The 13,571-nt window shown below is 43.7% G+C and overlaps 1 pseudogene, 2 gene segments (V, D, J or C) and 1 further gene; all 4 read right to left on the bottom strand.

The window, feature by feature from the left end:
* Positions 1-13,571, bottom strand: part of IGL (immunoglobulin lambda locus) — an 896,838-nt gene that overhangs the window by 197,523 nt on the left and 685,744 nt on the right.
* On the bottom strand, positions 4,236-4,728 carry IGLV3-19 (immunoglobulin lambda variable 3-19). The segment is given in 2 exon segments: positions 4,236-4,536; positions 4,683-4,728. Coding segments are annotated over 2 exon segments (347 nt in total).
* IGLVI-20 (immunoglobulin lambda variable (I)-20 (pseudogene)) lies at positions 9,948-10,233 on the bottom strand (annotated as a pseudogene). Its single transcript is given in 1 exon segment — positions 9,948-10,233. A coding segment is annotated over 1 exon segment (286 nt).
* On the bottom strand, positions 12,192-12,972 carry IGLV3-21 (immunoglobulin lambda variable 3-21). The segment is given in 2 exon segments: positions 12,192-12,492; positions 12,927-12,972. Coding segments are annotated over 2 exon segments (347 nt in total).

The raw sequence follows: 13,571 nt of genomic DNA, 5'->3' as shown, positions 1-13,571 counted from the left end.
CTTAAGAAAAATAATGCTCAAAGAGCAGCGGTCATGGGATTTATCCCAGAGAGAGGAAGTGGATCTTGTTCTGCTTGTGATAGCAAAAGTGTATGGATCAAGATTATTCTATAGGGTTATAGATTACAAGATAGCATAACATTTTATTTTAAAAATGAAGACAATTTTTGGTACATGTATTAAATGTAAGAGAATGAACAAGCAGCTTAAAAAATGAACTTCTCATGCTCACTTTTGGGGGATATTATGGGATACAAACAAGTGCAGAGAGCAGTGTGAGGAATAAAATTCTCATCCTGGCTTAGGAATAAAATTCTCCTTCTGGCTTAGTGTGGGCAGAACCTCACAGTCTCTGAGCAACCCCACGATGTGGTATGGTTAGGGCATGGCCCCTCAATACAAAACGTGTTCTCATTTAGTGAGAATCGAAATAAAAAAAATACTACTAACCTCAACACCGAATGATTGGTTCATCATTTGATAGACCCTGTGACTTTATAACACATACAATTGTGTTATCATTCTATAAGGTTTATCATTTGTGACATTTAAAACAAGAATAATTTCAAATTTGAAGTGAAAGAAGTCCTTTAGAGAAATACATTTCAAAATACAACCCCCTATCTATCTATATCTATATCATCTATGATATCGGCCATTTTCATATTGCAAAAAGCAAGGGCATTCTTCTAGGCCTTCTAAATGTTATAGGATCACACAGACATTGACACAATGGCGATAGACACAGATAGATGTTAATATTATTTGGAAAACAGTTTCATTTCTAGTGTGATGAACAAATGATTAAGGTGTTGGTGGTCTTAGGCATTATTTCCCACTAGGGTCCATATTTTTGCGTGTGAAAAATAGTTACTAGAGGGAGAGCAAAGACAGAGCACTCTCATTGTTCCCAGAGAATCGGACTAGAGAAATGTGAAGTCACCTACCTTCACCAGCTTTGCATTTTTTGTCTTTTTGATCATAGCCATTCCAGCTAGGGTGAGATTGTATCTCACTGGGGTTTTGATTCTCATTCCCTCACTAATTAGTGATGTTCAACATTTTTCTCGTATGCCTGTTGGCCATTTGTATATCTTCTATTGAGAAAAGTCTCTTCAAATTCTTGGCCCATTTTTAATGATATTATTAGTTTTTTTATGCTAATGAGTTATTTCAGTTTTTTTAAAATTTTCATACACTGAATGTTAGGCCCTTGTCAAGTGAACAGTTTGCAAATATTTTCTCTCATTCTACATGTTGTCTTTACTCTGTTGATTGTTTCCTTTGCTTTTCAGGAACTTTGTAGTTTAATGATGTCCCATATCTCTATTATTTGTTGTTGCCTGTGCTTTTGAAGTCTTGGCCATATAATTTTTTATCTAGAACAATGTCCTAAAGAATTTGTTCTTCCCCTATGTTAAGTTCCCTTCTAGTAGTTTTATAGTTTGGGGTGTTATATTTGGGCCTTTAATCCATTTTTAGTTGATATTTTTTTGTGGAGAGGATAAGTGTCTAGTTTCATTGTTCTGTAGATGGGTATCCAGTTTTCTCAGCACCACTTATTGAAAATTGTGCCATTTTCTCAGTGTACATTCTTGACATCTTTGTTGAAAGTCAGCTATATATAGATATATGGATTTATTTACGGGTTTTCTATTTTGTTATATTGGTCTCAGTGTCTGATTGCATGCCAATAACTTCCTGTTTTGGTTACTATAGTTTGTAGCATATTTTAATTCTAGTAGTGTGATATCTTCAGCTGTGTTCTTTTTGCTCAGTATTGCTTTGGCTATTCAGCGTCTTTTAGGGTTTTATACCAATTTTAGAGGATTTTTTATTTCTGTGAATAATATCATTGGTATTTTGATAGGAATTGCATTGAGTTTGTAGATTGCTTTGGGTAGTAAGTTTCTTCATTTAATATTTTCTAAATGTAACTCCACTGATTTAGGCTTGCATTACTTCTAATAAGAAATCAACTATTACCTGGGGATGGTTACTGGGTAAGAAAAAACTAGTTAGAAATAATCAATAAGGCCTACTATTTGACAGCACAACAGGATGACTATAGTCAATAACAACTTAACTGTACATTTTATAAAGCTAAAAGAGTGTAATTGAATAGTTTATACTACAAAGGATAAGTGCTTGAGTGAATGAATACCGAATTTTCCATAATGTGGCTATTTCACATTGCATGCCTGTTTTGAAACATCTCGTGTACCCAATAAAAATATATGCCTACTATGAAGCCACTAAAATTAAAAAAATTTTTAAAAACCAAATTTGTTCTTGTCATTTTGTTGTTCACCTGTATCTCTCTCTCTCCCTTTCTCTCTTTCTCTCTCTCTCTCTATCTCTCTCTCTCTCTCTCTGTGTGTGTGTGTGTGTGTGTGTGTGTCTTTGGGACATGTTAAACTTTTTGGAATAGGAGGTTTCTAGTTTTCACAAAATTTGGGAAATTTTGGTCATTGTTCCTTTAAATTGTTTTTCTGCCTTTTCTCTTCCCTGTCCAATCTTACCTCCTTTAATGACTTTCATTATACCAATTTAGGCAGTTGAAGATGTCCTAAAACTCACTGATACTCTGTTTACGCTTTTGTGCTTCGTCTTGAATAGCTGCCATTGCCATATCTTCAAGTTCACTCATCTATTCTTTCACAGAATCCAATCTGCAATCAGTCTCATTCAGTGTATTTTTTATTGCAGACATATTATGGATCATTTATAAGAGTATAACTTGCGTCTGTCTTTATATGTTTTATGTATCCACTTAATATGATTTTTCAATCTTATATCCTCAAGAACAAGTAGAATAGAATAGAGTTATAAGAATTTCTTTCATATCCTTGCCTACAAGGTCTATCATGTGTGCAATTTTATTGCCATTTGGGATTGATTCACTTCTCTGTTTGATATAGCATATATTTTCTGGTTACCTTGCAGGAAATATTGACAGGATGAAGGCATTGTGCATTTTTCCTGCTGGGTTGAGAATTCTTTTGCAGTTCATTCTCTATTTCTGTCTTTTATTGTTGAATTCAGTAAAGTTACTTTACTGTTCAGAAAAACAGTTTGAGTTTTCTGTTTGCTTTTACACTTTCATAGTTGAGACCTGAGCAGCATTTTGTCTAGGGTGACTTTTTCCCCAGTACTGAGGCAAAGCTCTTCTGATGAGTCAACCTCATGCCCTGTAAGTCAGGCCTTTCCTCTGTGACTGTAGTGTGTGAGTGTCTGTGAGTGCGTGGGTGGGTGTGTGTGGGAGTGAGCTCTGTGAGGTGTTCCCTCAAGAGTCTTTGCGTGGTTCTTTTCTCTTTCGGAGGTGTTTCTTTACACACAAGTGCTCATCAGTTCATGTATATTTGCAGACCTCAGAGTTCTCTGCATGTGCAACTGCCTCCTCTTTGATACTCTTCCAACTAGACTGTTTTTGTTCATTTCTAAACAATTTTTGAGATCCCTGGAATCCTACTCTAAGAGGCAGGATTCCATGCAGTAGGGTTTCATGACATACTGTCAGGAAAGAAGTGTGGGAGGCGTGACTGGGAATGTGTTACAACTGACTGCTCAGCTAGAAGGCATTTCAAGGTCATTCTAAATTAAAATATGGCTTTGGGATTAAGGCATCAGGTAGTTATTGCTCCTGAACTACATTCTGAAGGAGGCACATCTTTGCATGAAGCCGTTCTTTGCACTCAAAGGCATTTTTTGGTGGGGAATTGCTGTGTGAAGCTGGGATGCCAAGGGATGCCACAGTGCTCACTAGAAAAGACTTTCCTGTTCAGAACATCAGGATGCATGGAGCTGGGGCTTGAGGGTCTCAGTTAAACATGGGGAGTTCAGACCAATAATCCAGGGCATTTGGGCCACAAAGTACAGGCATTGTGTTAGATCCAGTCACCACACAAGAGGAACTCCAGGGATCATGACCACTCAACAGCTGCCCATCTCCTTCTTGTGGTCCTTCCATTCAGGTCATCTTGAGGCAAGGCACACTCAGTCTAAACAACAGCAGAACAGCCTGGTCCTTCAAGCCTCACATCATCCTGACCCACCTTCTGCAGAGCCTACCTGGAGGAATGGAGGGAAAGGCAGCCTGGAGGTCTCAGATGCAGGTGAACTGGGCCAGCCCTGTTTATGGCTTTGTTCACAGTCCTGCTGGGGCTGGAGAGAGAGGATGACACAGATAGTGAAGGGGTTTCTGTCTCACTTCCCCATCTGTCTGTGTCAATGTGAGATGGTTACCACTGCTGTCCCGGGAGTTACAGTAATAGTCAGCCTCATCTTCCGCCTGAGCCCCAGTGATGGTCAAGGAAGCTGTGTTTCCTGAGCTGGAGCCAGAGAATCGGTCTGGGATCCCTGAGGGCCGGTTGTTTTTACCATAGATGACAAGTACAGGGGCCTGTCCTGGCTTCTGCTGGTACCAGCTTGCATAATAGCTTCTGAGGCTGTCTCCTTGGCATGTGATCCTGACTGTCTGTCCCAAGGCCACAGACACAGCAGGGTCCTGAGTCAGCTCAGAAGAAACCACAGAACCTGCAAAAGAGGACAGAAGAGGTGAGGATAAGGGTTTCACGCCTAGAGTCCCACACCCTACACTACTCCCTGTGTTGAGCCGAAGCTCAGGGCCAGGTTGGCACAGCTAGCATGATAATATGGGGTTGAGCCCTGGGAGGCAGCACCTATGCAAAGAGTGAGGAGAGTGAGCCAGAGAGGGGTCCAGGCCATGGTGGAGACACCCCAGAACTCTGCTTCTGAGCCCACAGCTAAGGAGGAACCTCCAGGCCTCTCTTATCATAGGAAGGGAAGTCTCTTCATGCAAATCTACTTCCTTTATTCTTGTGTCGTCGTTAGGTGGCTCTGGTGAGCAGTGGATGCAAATCTGTTCTCCATTCCCTAAAACATTTGTCCTGGTTCTTGTCTGAGCCCTGAGCCTGATGGCCTTCTCTGAGTAATTTCTCAAGATCAGAAGAAGGGCCAAGTGCATTTTCAGATTTACCCACTAGAAGGGGCCTCATAGGAAGCAACAGTCAGGCTCTTCGCCCTTGAGCATTACTAGGGGCTTGGACTCATTAGGGGCCTCAGACTAAACCTCACAGTGCCCCCTGGTGCACACAGCATGAATGCCATTTTCTGCACATCACTAGATCACTCAGAAGGGCTACTTATGAGTCCATAATACATGCCAGATGCATTAGCGAGAGTTTTACAAGTGTTACCTCAAGAAGACTTTTGTAATATAGAATAGGATGATGGGGAGCCTTGTGCTTCAAGCCCATCTTTATTAGTGAGTGAATATTAGGAGGTTAAATGTTTTTCCCAAGTCCTCCAGACAATAGGGAGTGGAGTCAAGATTCCACCCAGGAGATGCACCTCAGAGCCCGACCTTCCAGCCCCTTCCTGCACCGCCTCCTGCACCCTGCTCCATCTCCTCCTTCTCCCTCATCCAAGGTCTTTGGGGTCCCTCTTGTTTTTGCTAGAGCTCCCACAAGAAGATAGGAAAGAATTAGTGACCGAAATGGCAGAAACATATTTTCTCACAGTTCTGAAGCTGGAAAACCCAAGATAAAGGTGGTAGTGGGTTTGGTTTCCCCTGAGGACTCTCTCCTTGGCTTGCAGGTTGCTACCTCCTTGCTGAATCCTCACCTGGTCTTTTCTCTGCACGCTCACCTCTGGTGCCTCATTTCTGTGTGTGCAAATTTCTTCTTCCTAGGAGGACATCAGTCCAATTTGAGAAGAATCCACCCTAATTTTTTCATTTTCACTTAGTCACCTCTTTAAAGACCCTATGCACAATTTCAGTCACATATTGTGTGTTACAGCTTCAATGCATACATTTTGGGGGACTTAATTCAGCCAATAACCCCCCACCCTCTGGACTCCAAAAAACTCATGTCTTTCTCACTTGTAAAAACATTCAACTCATTCCAACAGCGCAAGTCCTAAACTAACTCAGCACCTACTCTAAGACCCAACTCTCATTTAGATATCACCCAAATCAAGTGTGGGTGATTATCCAGGATGATTCATCCTGAGGGTTTAAAGGAAAACAATTTGGGGGGTTTCCTCTCCAGTCTCCTGTTATCATCCAGGTTCCAGAAAAGTAAACTCCTACTTCAATAAGATTGAAATAAAAAAGTGAGTCAACATCAGCAACATTTTTGAGTCAGATGTGAAAAATTCACATCTGTGCACTTTTAAAATAATTTAGAGTATAGAATAATTTAAATGCCATAAAATTGAATTTTGTGATCAGTAGCCATGGGCTATCTCTGACAGCATTTGGAAAAGAGCTATAGTTGATACAGAAAATATAACCCAAAAAACAAGAGTTGTTTTTAGAGCAGAATATTTCCAAGTTAACTAAGATAAATCGTACACAGAAATAATATAATCCAAAGAAAATTAATTTCTTGTAGGCATATTAAATTACTAAATCCAATTTTAGCATTGAGCATCAACATTTTGGTATGCATATAAAGCCACCTCTCAATGGTTATATAAAAGGGCAGTTGTTTCCTACTTCATGTTACAGTTTATTTGTGGCTTAATGGTGCTTTGATAGTCAGAGAGAAGGTGCTCCAGAAGATGCTTCCTTTACCTAAAAGAGGGAAAATATTCTTTTACATAAAACGATAATTTGCAGGATAACATATTTCCACTCTCATCATCCCTGTTCTTGTCATGGCAACTTAGTTGGAGGACTTACAGTTAAAATCTCAAACTCAGCCAGGCACGGTAGTTCATGCCTGTAATCCCAGCACTTTGGGAGGCCGAGACGGGTGGATCATGAGGTCAGGAGATTGACACCATCCTGGTCAACATTGTGAAACCATGTCTCTACAAAAAATACAAAAATTAGCCTGGCATGATGGCGAGAGCTTGTAATCCCAGCTACTTGGGAGGCTGAGGCAGGAGAATTTCTTGAACCCGGGAGGTGGATGTTGCAGTGAGCCGCGATTGTGCCACTGCACTCCAGCCTGGCAACAGAGTGAGACTCCATCTCAAAAATAAATAAATAAATAAATAAATTTTAAAAACATCTCAAACTCTCTTCTTTATTCCATTGTTGCATTCTGAGTTTAACGATCTACTTGCTTTATAAAAATTTGCAATACATTTAAAAGTTCAACTTCATTTATCATTTGTTAATGATGCTCAGAACACCAACCATCTTGTGTGTTTTTGGTTTCAGCTACAAGGCTGATTTTAAGACCTTTTTTCTCTCAGCCTACACTGGATCACTCCCGACTTGGTGCAAGCTTCCTTGCCCATTTGCCCCTCCCTCTGCCTCTAATTTTTCACCTCGGAGGAATCTCTATTCCTGATATACTGAAGCTCTCACAAAACAGAGCAAATGGATGAAGATGAAAGTCATGAGCTTGTGACACAGGGCTGTCTTGAGCAGACACAAGATCCAATCAAACACATGGTACAGGTAGGTTCTTATCCAAAGAAAGACCTCAGGCCCCTAGAGGAGGTGAATTACAGTGTCCCTCACAAAGAGATCTCCACATAGAACATATGCGGGTGCAATGTTCAAACTTCAAATAACCCTAGAAACCAGAGACCGTTAAACCACATCCTGTGGGACATCCCTGGCCTGCCACCAATTTTTTTAATGGCCCCAGAACTGATAGTGGTTTTTATATGTTTTAATGATTACGTTGTAGATGGTGTATCAGAACATACATATTATCCCAACGTTGTCTTGTGCATGGCAAAGACTAAAATACCTCTTACCGAGGCATTGAAGAAACGGTTTACCAAATCCTAAAACATAATGAGCACTGAAATATTTGAGTAAATGCTCAACCTCAAGCAAAATAGGAGAAATCAAAAATAAATGTGTAACAAGATAACTTTGTATATCTGATAGGTTGGCACAAACTTGCACTTTCACCAATGAATTCCAATCAATATTTAGGGCTGGTATTGTAAACTGGTAGAACTGGAGGGGAATATGAAAACAATGGATAAAAGTTAAAAATGCACATCCTTTTGACCCAGCAATTCCACTTCTGGAAATTTATCCTATGGTGATATGCACACATGAACTCAAAGGAGTCTGCACAGGGATGCTTGCTGCAGTGTGATTTGTAAGATCAAAATCATGGTGATAACCATTAGAGGCTGCATGGCTAAAATCCTACTACAGAATACTCTACAGCGTTAGAATGAATGGGCAGTGCTCTATGCCTATGACGCCCCAGGAAAGAATAAGAAATGGTGCAGGTATGGGATGGCCTTTGACAAGGGGGACTGGGACAGGTGCCTTACACTTCACTCTCTCCTTTTCCTCTGAGATTTTCCACATCAGACAAACAGGTTAGGGACAGTGGAAGCCCCTCAGGCTGGGCCTGGCCACCTGCTCTGGCCTCTGAATGCAGCCTGGCCTGACAGCTTGGCTGCAACTTCATGACCAACCCAGAACCAGAACCACAAAACTAAGCTGCTCTCAATTCCAGATGCACCGAAGTGACAAGATCACAAACACGTGTTCTCTTACCATGCTAAATATTAGGGAGCAATTTTTATGCAACAATAGACAATAAATACAATTTGGTTTTTGAAATATATTTTCTTGTGGATATTTCAGGTACACAACATGTTGATATAGTCTAAACACATAATAAAATGGTTACTTTGTTTTTAATAAAACCTATTTAATCAAAGTTTATGAAGCCTAAATTATATATAATAATGGCTATGTCTACCAATTGACTCATAAAATTTAAATATTGGATGCAACTAATGTCTGAATATTTATTAAATTCATTCTCACCTTTAGTAGATTAAGAAAGATTTCAGCTACAAAAGTATTGACACCCATGGAAATTACAAATGCTGGATGTCAATGAGGAAGAAGGAATGGACTCACGTTAACTCTTCCCTGTGGGGCCATTTTGGAAACTCCCAACCTATAGGGACACCATCCACTTTTGGGGAGTTTCCAGGACAGGGCCCCAGCGAATTGAGACGGGAGGATTTTGAGGGAGCACTGAGCCTGTCACGCAAAATCTCCCCAGCTCAGCAACCTGAGGTATTGAGGCAAAGAGGAGGAGCAAAAATAAAAAAAACACTGCCAGATGCAGTGGCTCCTGTGTGTATTCCCATCCCTTTGAGAGGCCGAGGTGGGTGCATCACCTGAGATCAGGAGTTCAAGACCAGCCTGGCCAACATGGTGAAATCCCGTCTCTACTAAATATACAAAAATCAGCCAGGCATGGTGGTGGTCACCTGTTATCCCAGCTCTTCGGGAGGCTGAGGCAGGGAGCATTGGTAGAGCCTGGGAGGCTGAGATTTCAGTAAGCCAAGATTCTGCCACTGCACTCCAGCCTGGCGACAAAGCAAAAGTTTGTTTCAAAAACAAAAACAAAAGAATAATAAAAACAACAGTTTCCTCTCGTCCTTAATACCTCACAAACATGTTCAGATCTTCTCACAGTGGTCACTGCTTCAGGACAGACATGCAGAGGAATAGTCCATCCAGGAGGGCCATCTTTACCAGACCATGGTGGACACAATTGAATAAGATGCAGTTTCTTGAAACTCCCTGTAATGACCTCTGTCCAGATTGTTCTTCACAATTTGGGAGGAGGATGCATTTTGGGTGAGGACATCCTTAAAAACAGCAGTGAATGCACCAGTCAGGCAGCTTTTCTCACTATGTGCCTGCATTTGAAGAGCTAGGAAGAGTTGCACATTCAGGGACCACAGCACACAAGCATCAGGAAGCTGTCACTGTCCTGGATGAGAAATCACAGAGCAGGTTTCCTTTTGGACTTCCTGGTGAGAAAGGAGAGGAGCTGGGAGAGGGGAAATTCTCAAGGCAGTGCTGCAAGAAGCCCCTTGCACAGGGTGAGGAAGCATCTTCAGAACAAGAGAGAGGCTGAGAGCCCAGGGCAGGTTTGGGTCTCAATTCCCCATGAACTTGGACCACGGTGGAAAGTGCCACCTCTCCTATGTGAGTTGCAGTAATAATCAGCCTCATCCTCAGCCTGGAACCCAGAGATGGTCATGGAGGCTGTGTTTCCAGACTTGGAGCCAGAGAAGCCATCAGGGACCCCTGAGGCCTGAATACTGACACTATAAATCATGGGTCTGAGAACTGTGTCACCCAGTGTTTTGGGGCCAAGAGTAGAAAGGCTCTGCAGCAGGTGCAGGTGGGGGAGTGAGTGTCCTGCTATTGGGCCAGAGAAACTAGCAGACTCTACCATAATAGAGGAACTGGACATAGGAACTGAAACCTTGTGCTTAAGGCAAGGCTTCAGAGGAGAATCCTAGTGTAGACGCATGGGATTTAGCAACAAGTCTATGTCATGTGCAGTAGATAATTATTTCCTTTTGAAAACAACCTCTTCTATATTCGAGGGCTTTGTTACATCCAGAACCTCATGAGACACCAGTAACCACACAGTCAGACCTGCCATATCCCCTCGGTCATAAGCTCAGGCAGGGCACGAAATATTACACCATGAGATGAATGTGGCACCCGTAGGATGGAGCAGGAGCAGGGCTCAAGGGCACCGTCTTCTGCACAAGCAGGTTTTTCTCTCTATTGTTCCAGTGCCTCTTCCTGGGTTCACACTTATATGGTCTGGTGGAGATGGGGATGCTTGCAGCAGGTTACTCAACAGTACCTGTCACCTGAAAGAGTTGTGAGGAGCTCTGTCCCATAGTGGTATGACACGATCCTCCTGTGACCCCCTAGTGTCTAGTCACCACATTAAATATGAAAAGATAAGACAAATAAATTCAGATATATATATATATTTTATTTATTTCAGTAGAGCAAAATACTATCATTTTCACGTTATCAACATGAAATTATGTATGAGATAAATTACATCGATTTTCATGTATATTGTTATTGTTATTTTTCTGGAGATGGAAAATTTGGAAACTATGTAGTTGATGGGGATGTGATTGGGTTCTTTGTTGACCAGGGTGTCCTGCAGTGGGTTTTGATGTGATGAATGATCCGTATTTTACGTAGTTCGCCACATCTACATATCTGGTTGGAGTTGTAGAAAGGAGCAACATTTACAGAGGATGTGGAGGGTGGAGGTGGGCAGCATCCATCCTGCAGCTCACCTTGTGGGTGTATCTGTGGTTCCTGTGAGGGGTGAGGCTGCTCCCCCTGCCCCGGGCTTTCCTGCAGGGAGATCTGACTCCAACAATCCCTCAACCCAGAGCACCTGGCATGTCAGGCTCCCTTTTCATTCCATAAAAATTCAAGGAACCATCAGATTGGGCATTTCAACATTTACTCTGCAAATTTGGACAGAAACCAGAGTTTTCAGTTTATAGTGGCCTACTCAGGTCCCTGATGACCCATGTTGGGGACAGCTGGCCATCTTAGATGGGGTTCTCTGGAAGCTAACTCTGCAATAGAGATGTCCATGCACAGAAGATTCAGAAGGGAGTGGGGGAGGCAACACGGGGCAGAAGGAGACCCTGACTCGTGATGGAGTTGACATTGAGGCCTCAGGTATCCACACAGGGAGCTCTGGAGCTGGGAGGCCCTTCATTCAGTGGCATCTTAAATTGAGGCAAGGATTTGAGATCTTGGTTGATTAAACCGAACCCCTCTGAAAAGGGACACAAACTTGAGGAAGCTTTCTGCAACCAACAGCACTTCCCAGTGAGGGCACAGCTCTGAGCTGCTGGGCTTCTCAGCAGTGCCAGGTGGGTCACATTGAGGAGGGGATCTGGGCAGACTTCACAGTGTCCATTCCTCTGGTTTGCTCTGTTGGGAATCACAGGCTGCCACACAGCCTGGGGGCCAGGACCTCAGCAGAACTGGGCAGTAGTTCTGGGGCCTGATCCAGACAGTTGGTCTAAGGACTTGCCCTGTCCCCACCATATGACCATCCAGGGGTAGGACAGTGGACAGAGGTTGCCTCTGTCTGTCTTTCCACCCAAGCCTTCATTCTCTAACTCACACAACAGCCCCAAGTCACCAGATGATTCTGGCCCTTCCAGGCCATATTTATGCCTGATGTATCTTCTGTAGAGACTCCTGGAGGGGGCTGGAGGGAAGGGCAACCTGAAAGGCTCAGATCCAGGTGAACTGGGCCAGATTCACTCATGGCTTTATCAACAGGCTTCCCGGGGCTGGAGCAAGAGGGTGACCGAGGCTGGGAGGGTGTTTTTGTCTCACTTCCTCATCTGCCTGTGTCACCGTGGGATGATCACTACTACTATCCCACACCTGACAGTAATAGTCGGCCTCATCCCCGGCTTCGACCCTGCTGATGGTCAGGGTGGCCGTGTTCCCAGAGTTGGAGCCAGAGAATCGCTCAGGGATCCCTGAGGGCCGGTCGCTATCATCATAGACGACCAGCACAGGGGCCTGGCCTGGCTTCTGCTGGTACCAGTGCACACTTTTACTTCCAATGTTGTTTCCCCCACAGGTAATCCTGGCCGTCTGTCCTGGGGCCACTGACACCGAGGGTGGCTGAGTCAGCACATAGGAGGTCACAGAGCCTGCAAAGATAAAAATAAATAAATAAATAAATAAATAAATAAATAAATAAATAAGAGAGAGGTTGGCTTGCAGGTGAAAGATGCTTCTTATGAAATCCCTTGCCCTGCTGTCCCAGACAAGCTCCAGAGAGTCTGTGAACCCTCAGGGTATCCCCTGCAATCAGCCCCAGCCCCAGTGGCCCATGACTTTCCTGTTGTATGGAGACTTTGAACTGAAAACTCACTACTCTCTCCTGGCAGGTGCAGTCCCTCAGGCTCTCACAAGCCTTTGAGCACAGTTTGGGGGGAGTTCAGCCCCACCAGCCTCCCACCCTGCAGCAGGGTCATGAGCATCCTGCCCACCACAGGAAGGGCCCTCCTGAGCTCAGAATCAAGGACACGCTGGACCCAGAACCCTTGGGCTGGGCAGGTTGGTGAGACCCTGGGGGGATCACCTGTGCAGTGAGAGAGGAGGCCGAGGAGGAGAACGGTCCAGGCCATGGCTGAGGCACCACCAGTGCTGCTTCCTTAGGCCCAGACTGAGCAGGTTCCTCCCAGGCCTCTCTTATCCCCTTGCTGGAGAGAGCGGCCCATGATGCAAATCAGCAGAGTCAGAGGCTGCTGCTGGAGGAGATCTGTGGTTTCCAGAGAAGGACTCAGCCCCAAAGGAAACAGAGAGAGGAGGGCTGGCCCCTGCTTACCCACCCCCTCAGCCCATGCGATTTTCCTTCACCCACTGGTCCCATGGTCTGGGCTCACATCTTTACCCAGGTTGTGCCCAGCCTTGCTCCTTGGCTGGGTTGGTCGTGGAAAAGCTCAGAGCTGACTTCCTCTGTATTTTCTAGGGGATATAAAGACCTTCCTATGGGATAGATGTTGGCCGTGATTTAAGAGGTTGTTAGAGTCACAGTGGTGACAGGGGAATTATCTGGGGTCCACAGTCCCCTCCTTCATTCCATCCTGGCTCAGAAGGGAGGTGGTTAGCTTTTTTCTGCTTCTCTAGTAATGTCCTGATTGTAAATATTTTATGTCAGACATGAGATGTCTGGTACAGGCCTAAATCCATTTAAAGTCACATGCCAGAGCCCAATGCAGGGACC

This window comes from Homo sapiens, chromosome 22 (genome assembly GCF_000001405.40).
Source record: "Homo sapiens chromosome 22, GRCh38.p14 Primary Assembly".
NCBI classification, from domain to species: Eukaryota; Metazoa; Chordata; class Mammalia; order Primates; family Hominidae; genus Homo; species Homo sapiens.
Note: the sequence above shows the minus strand (reverse complement) of the source record. Positions and strands in the feature narration are given on the sequence as shown.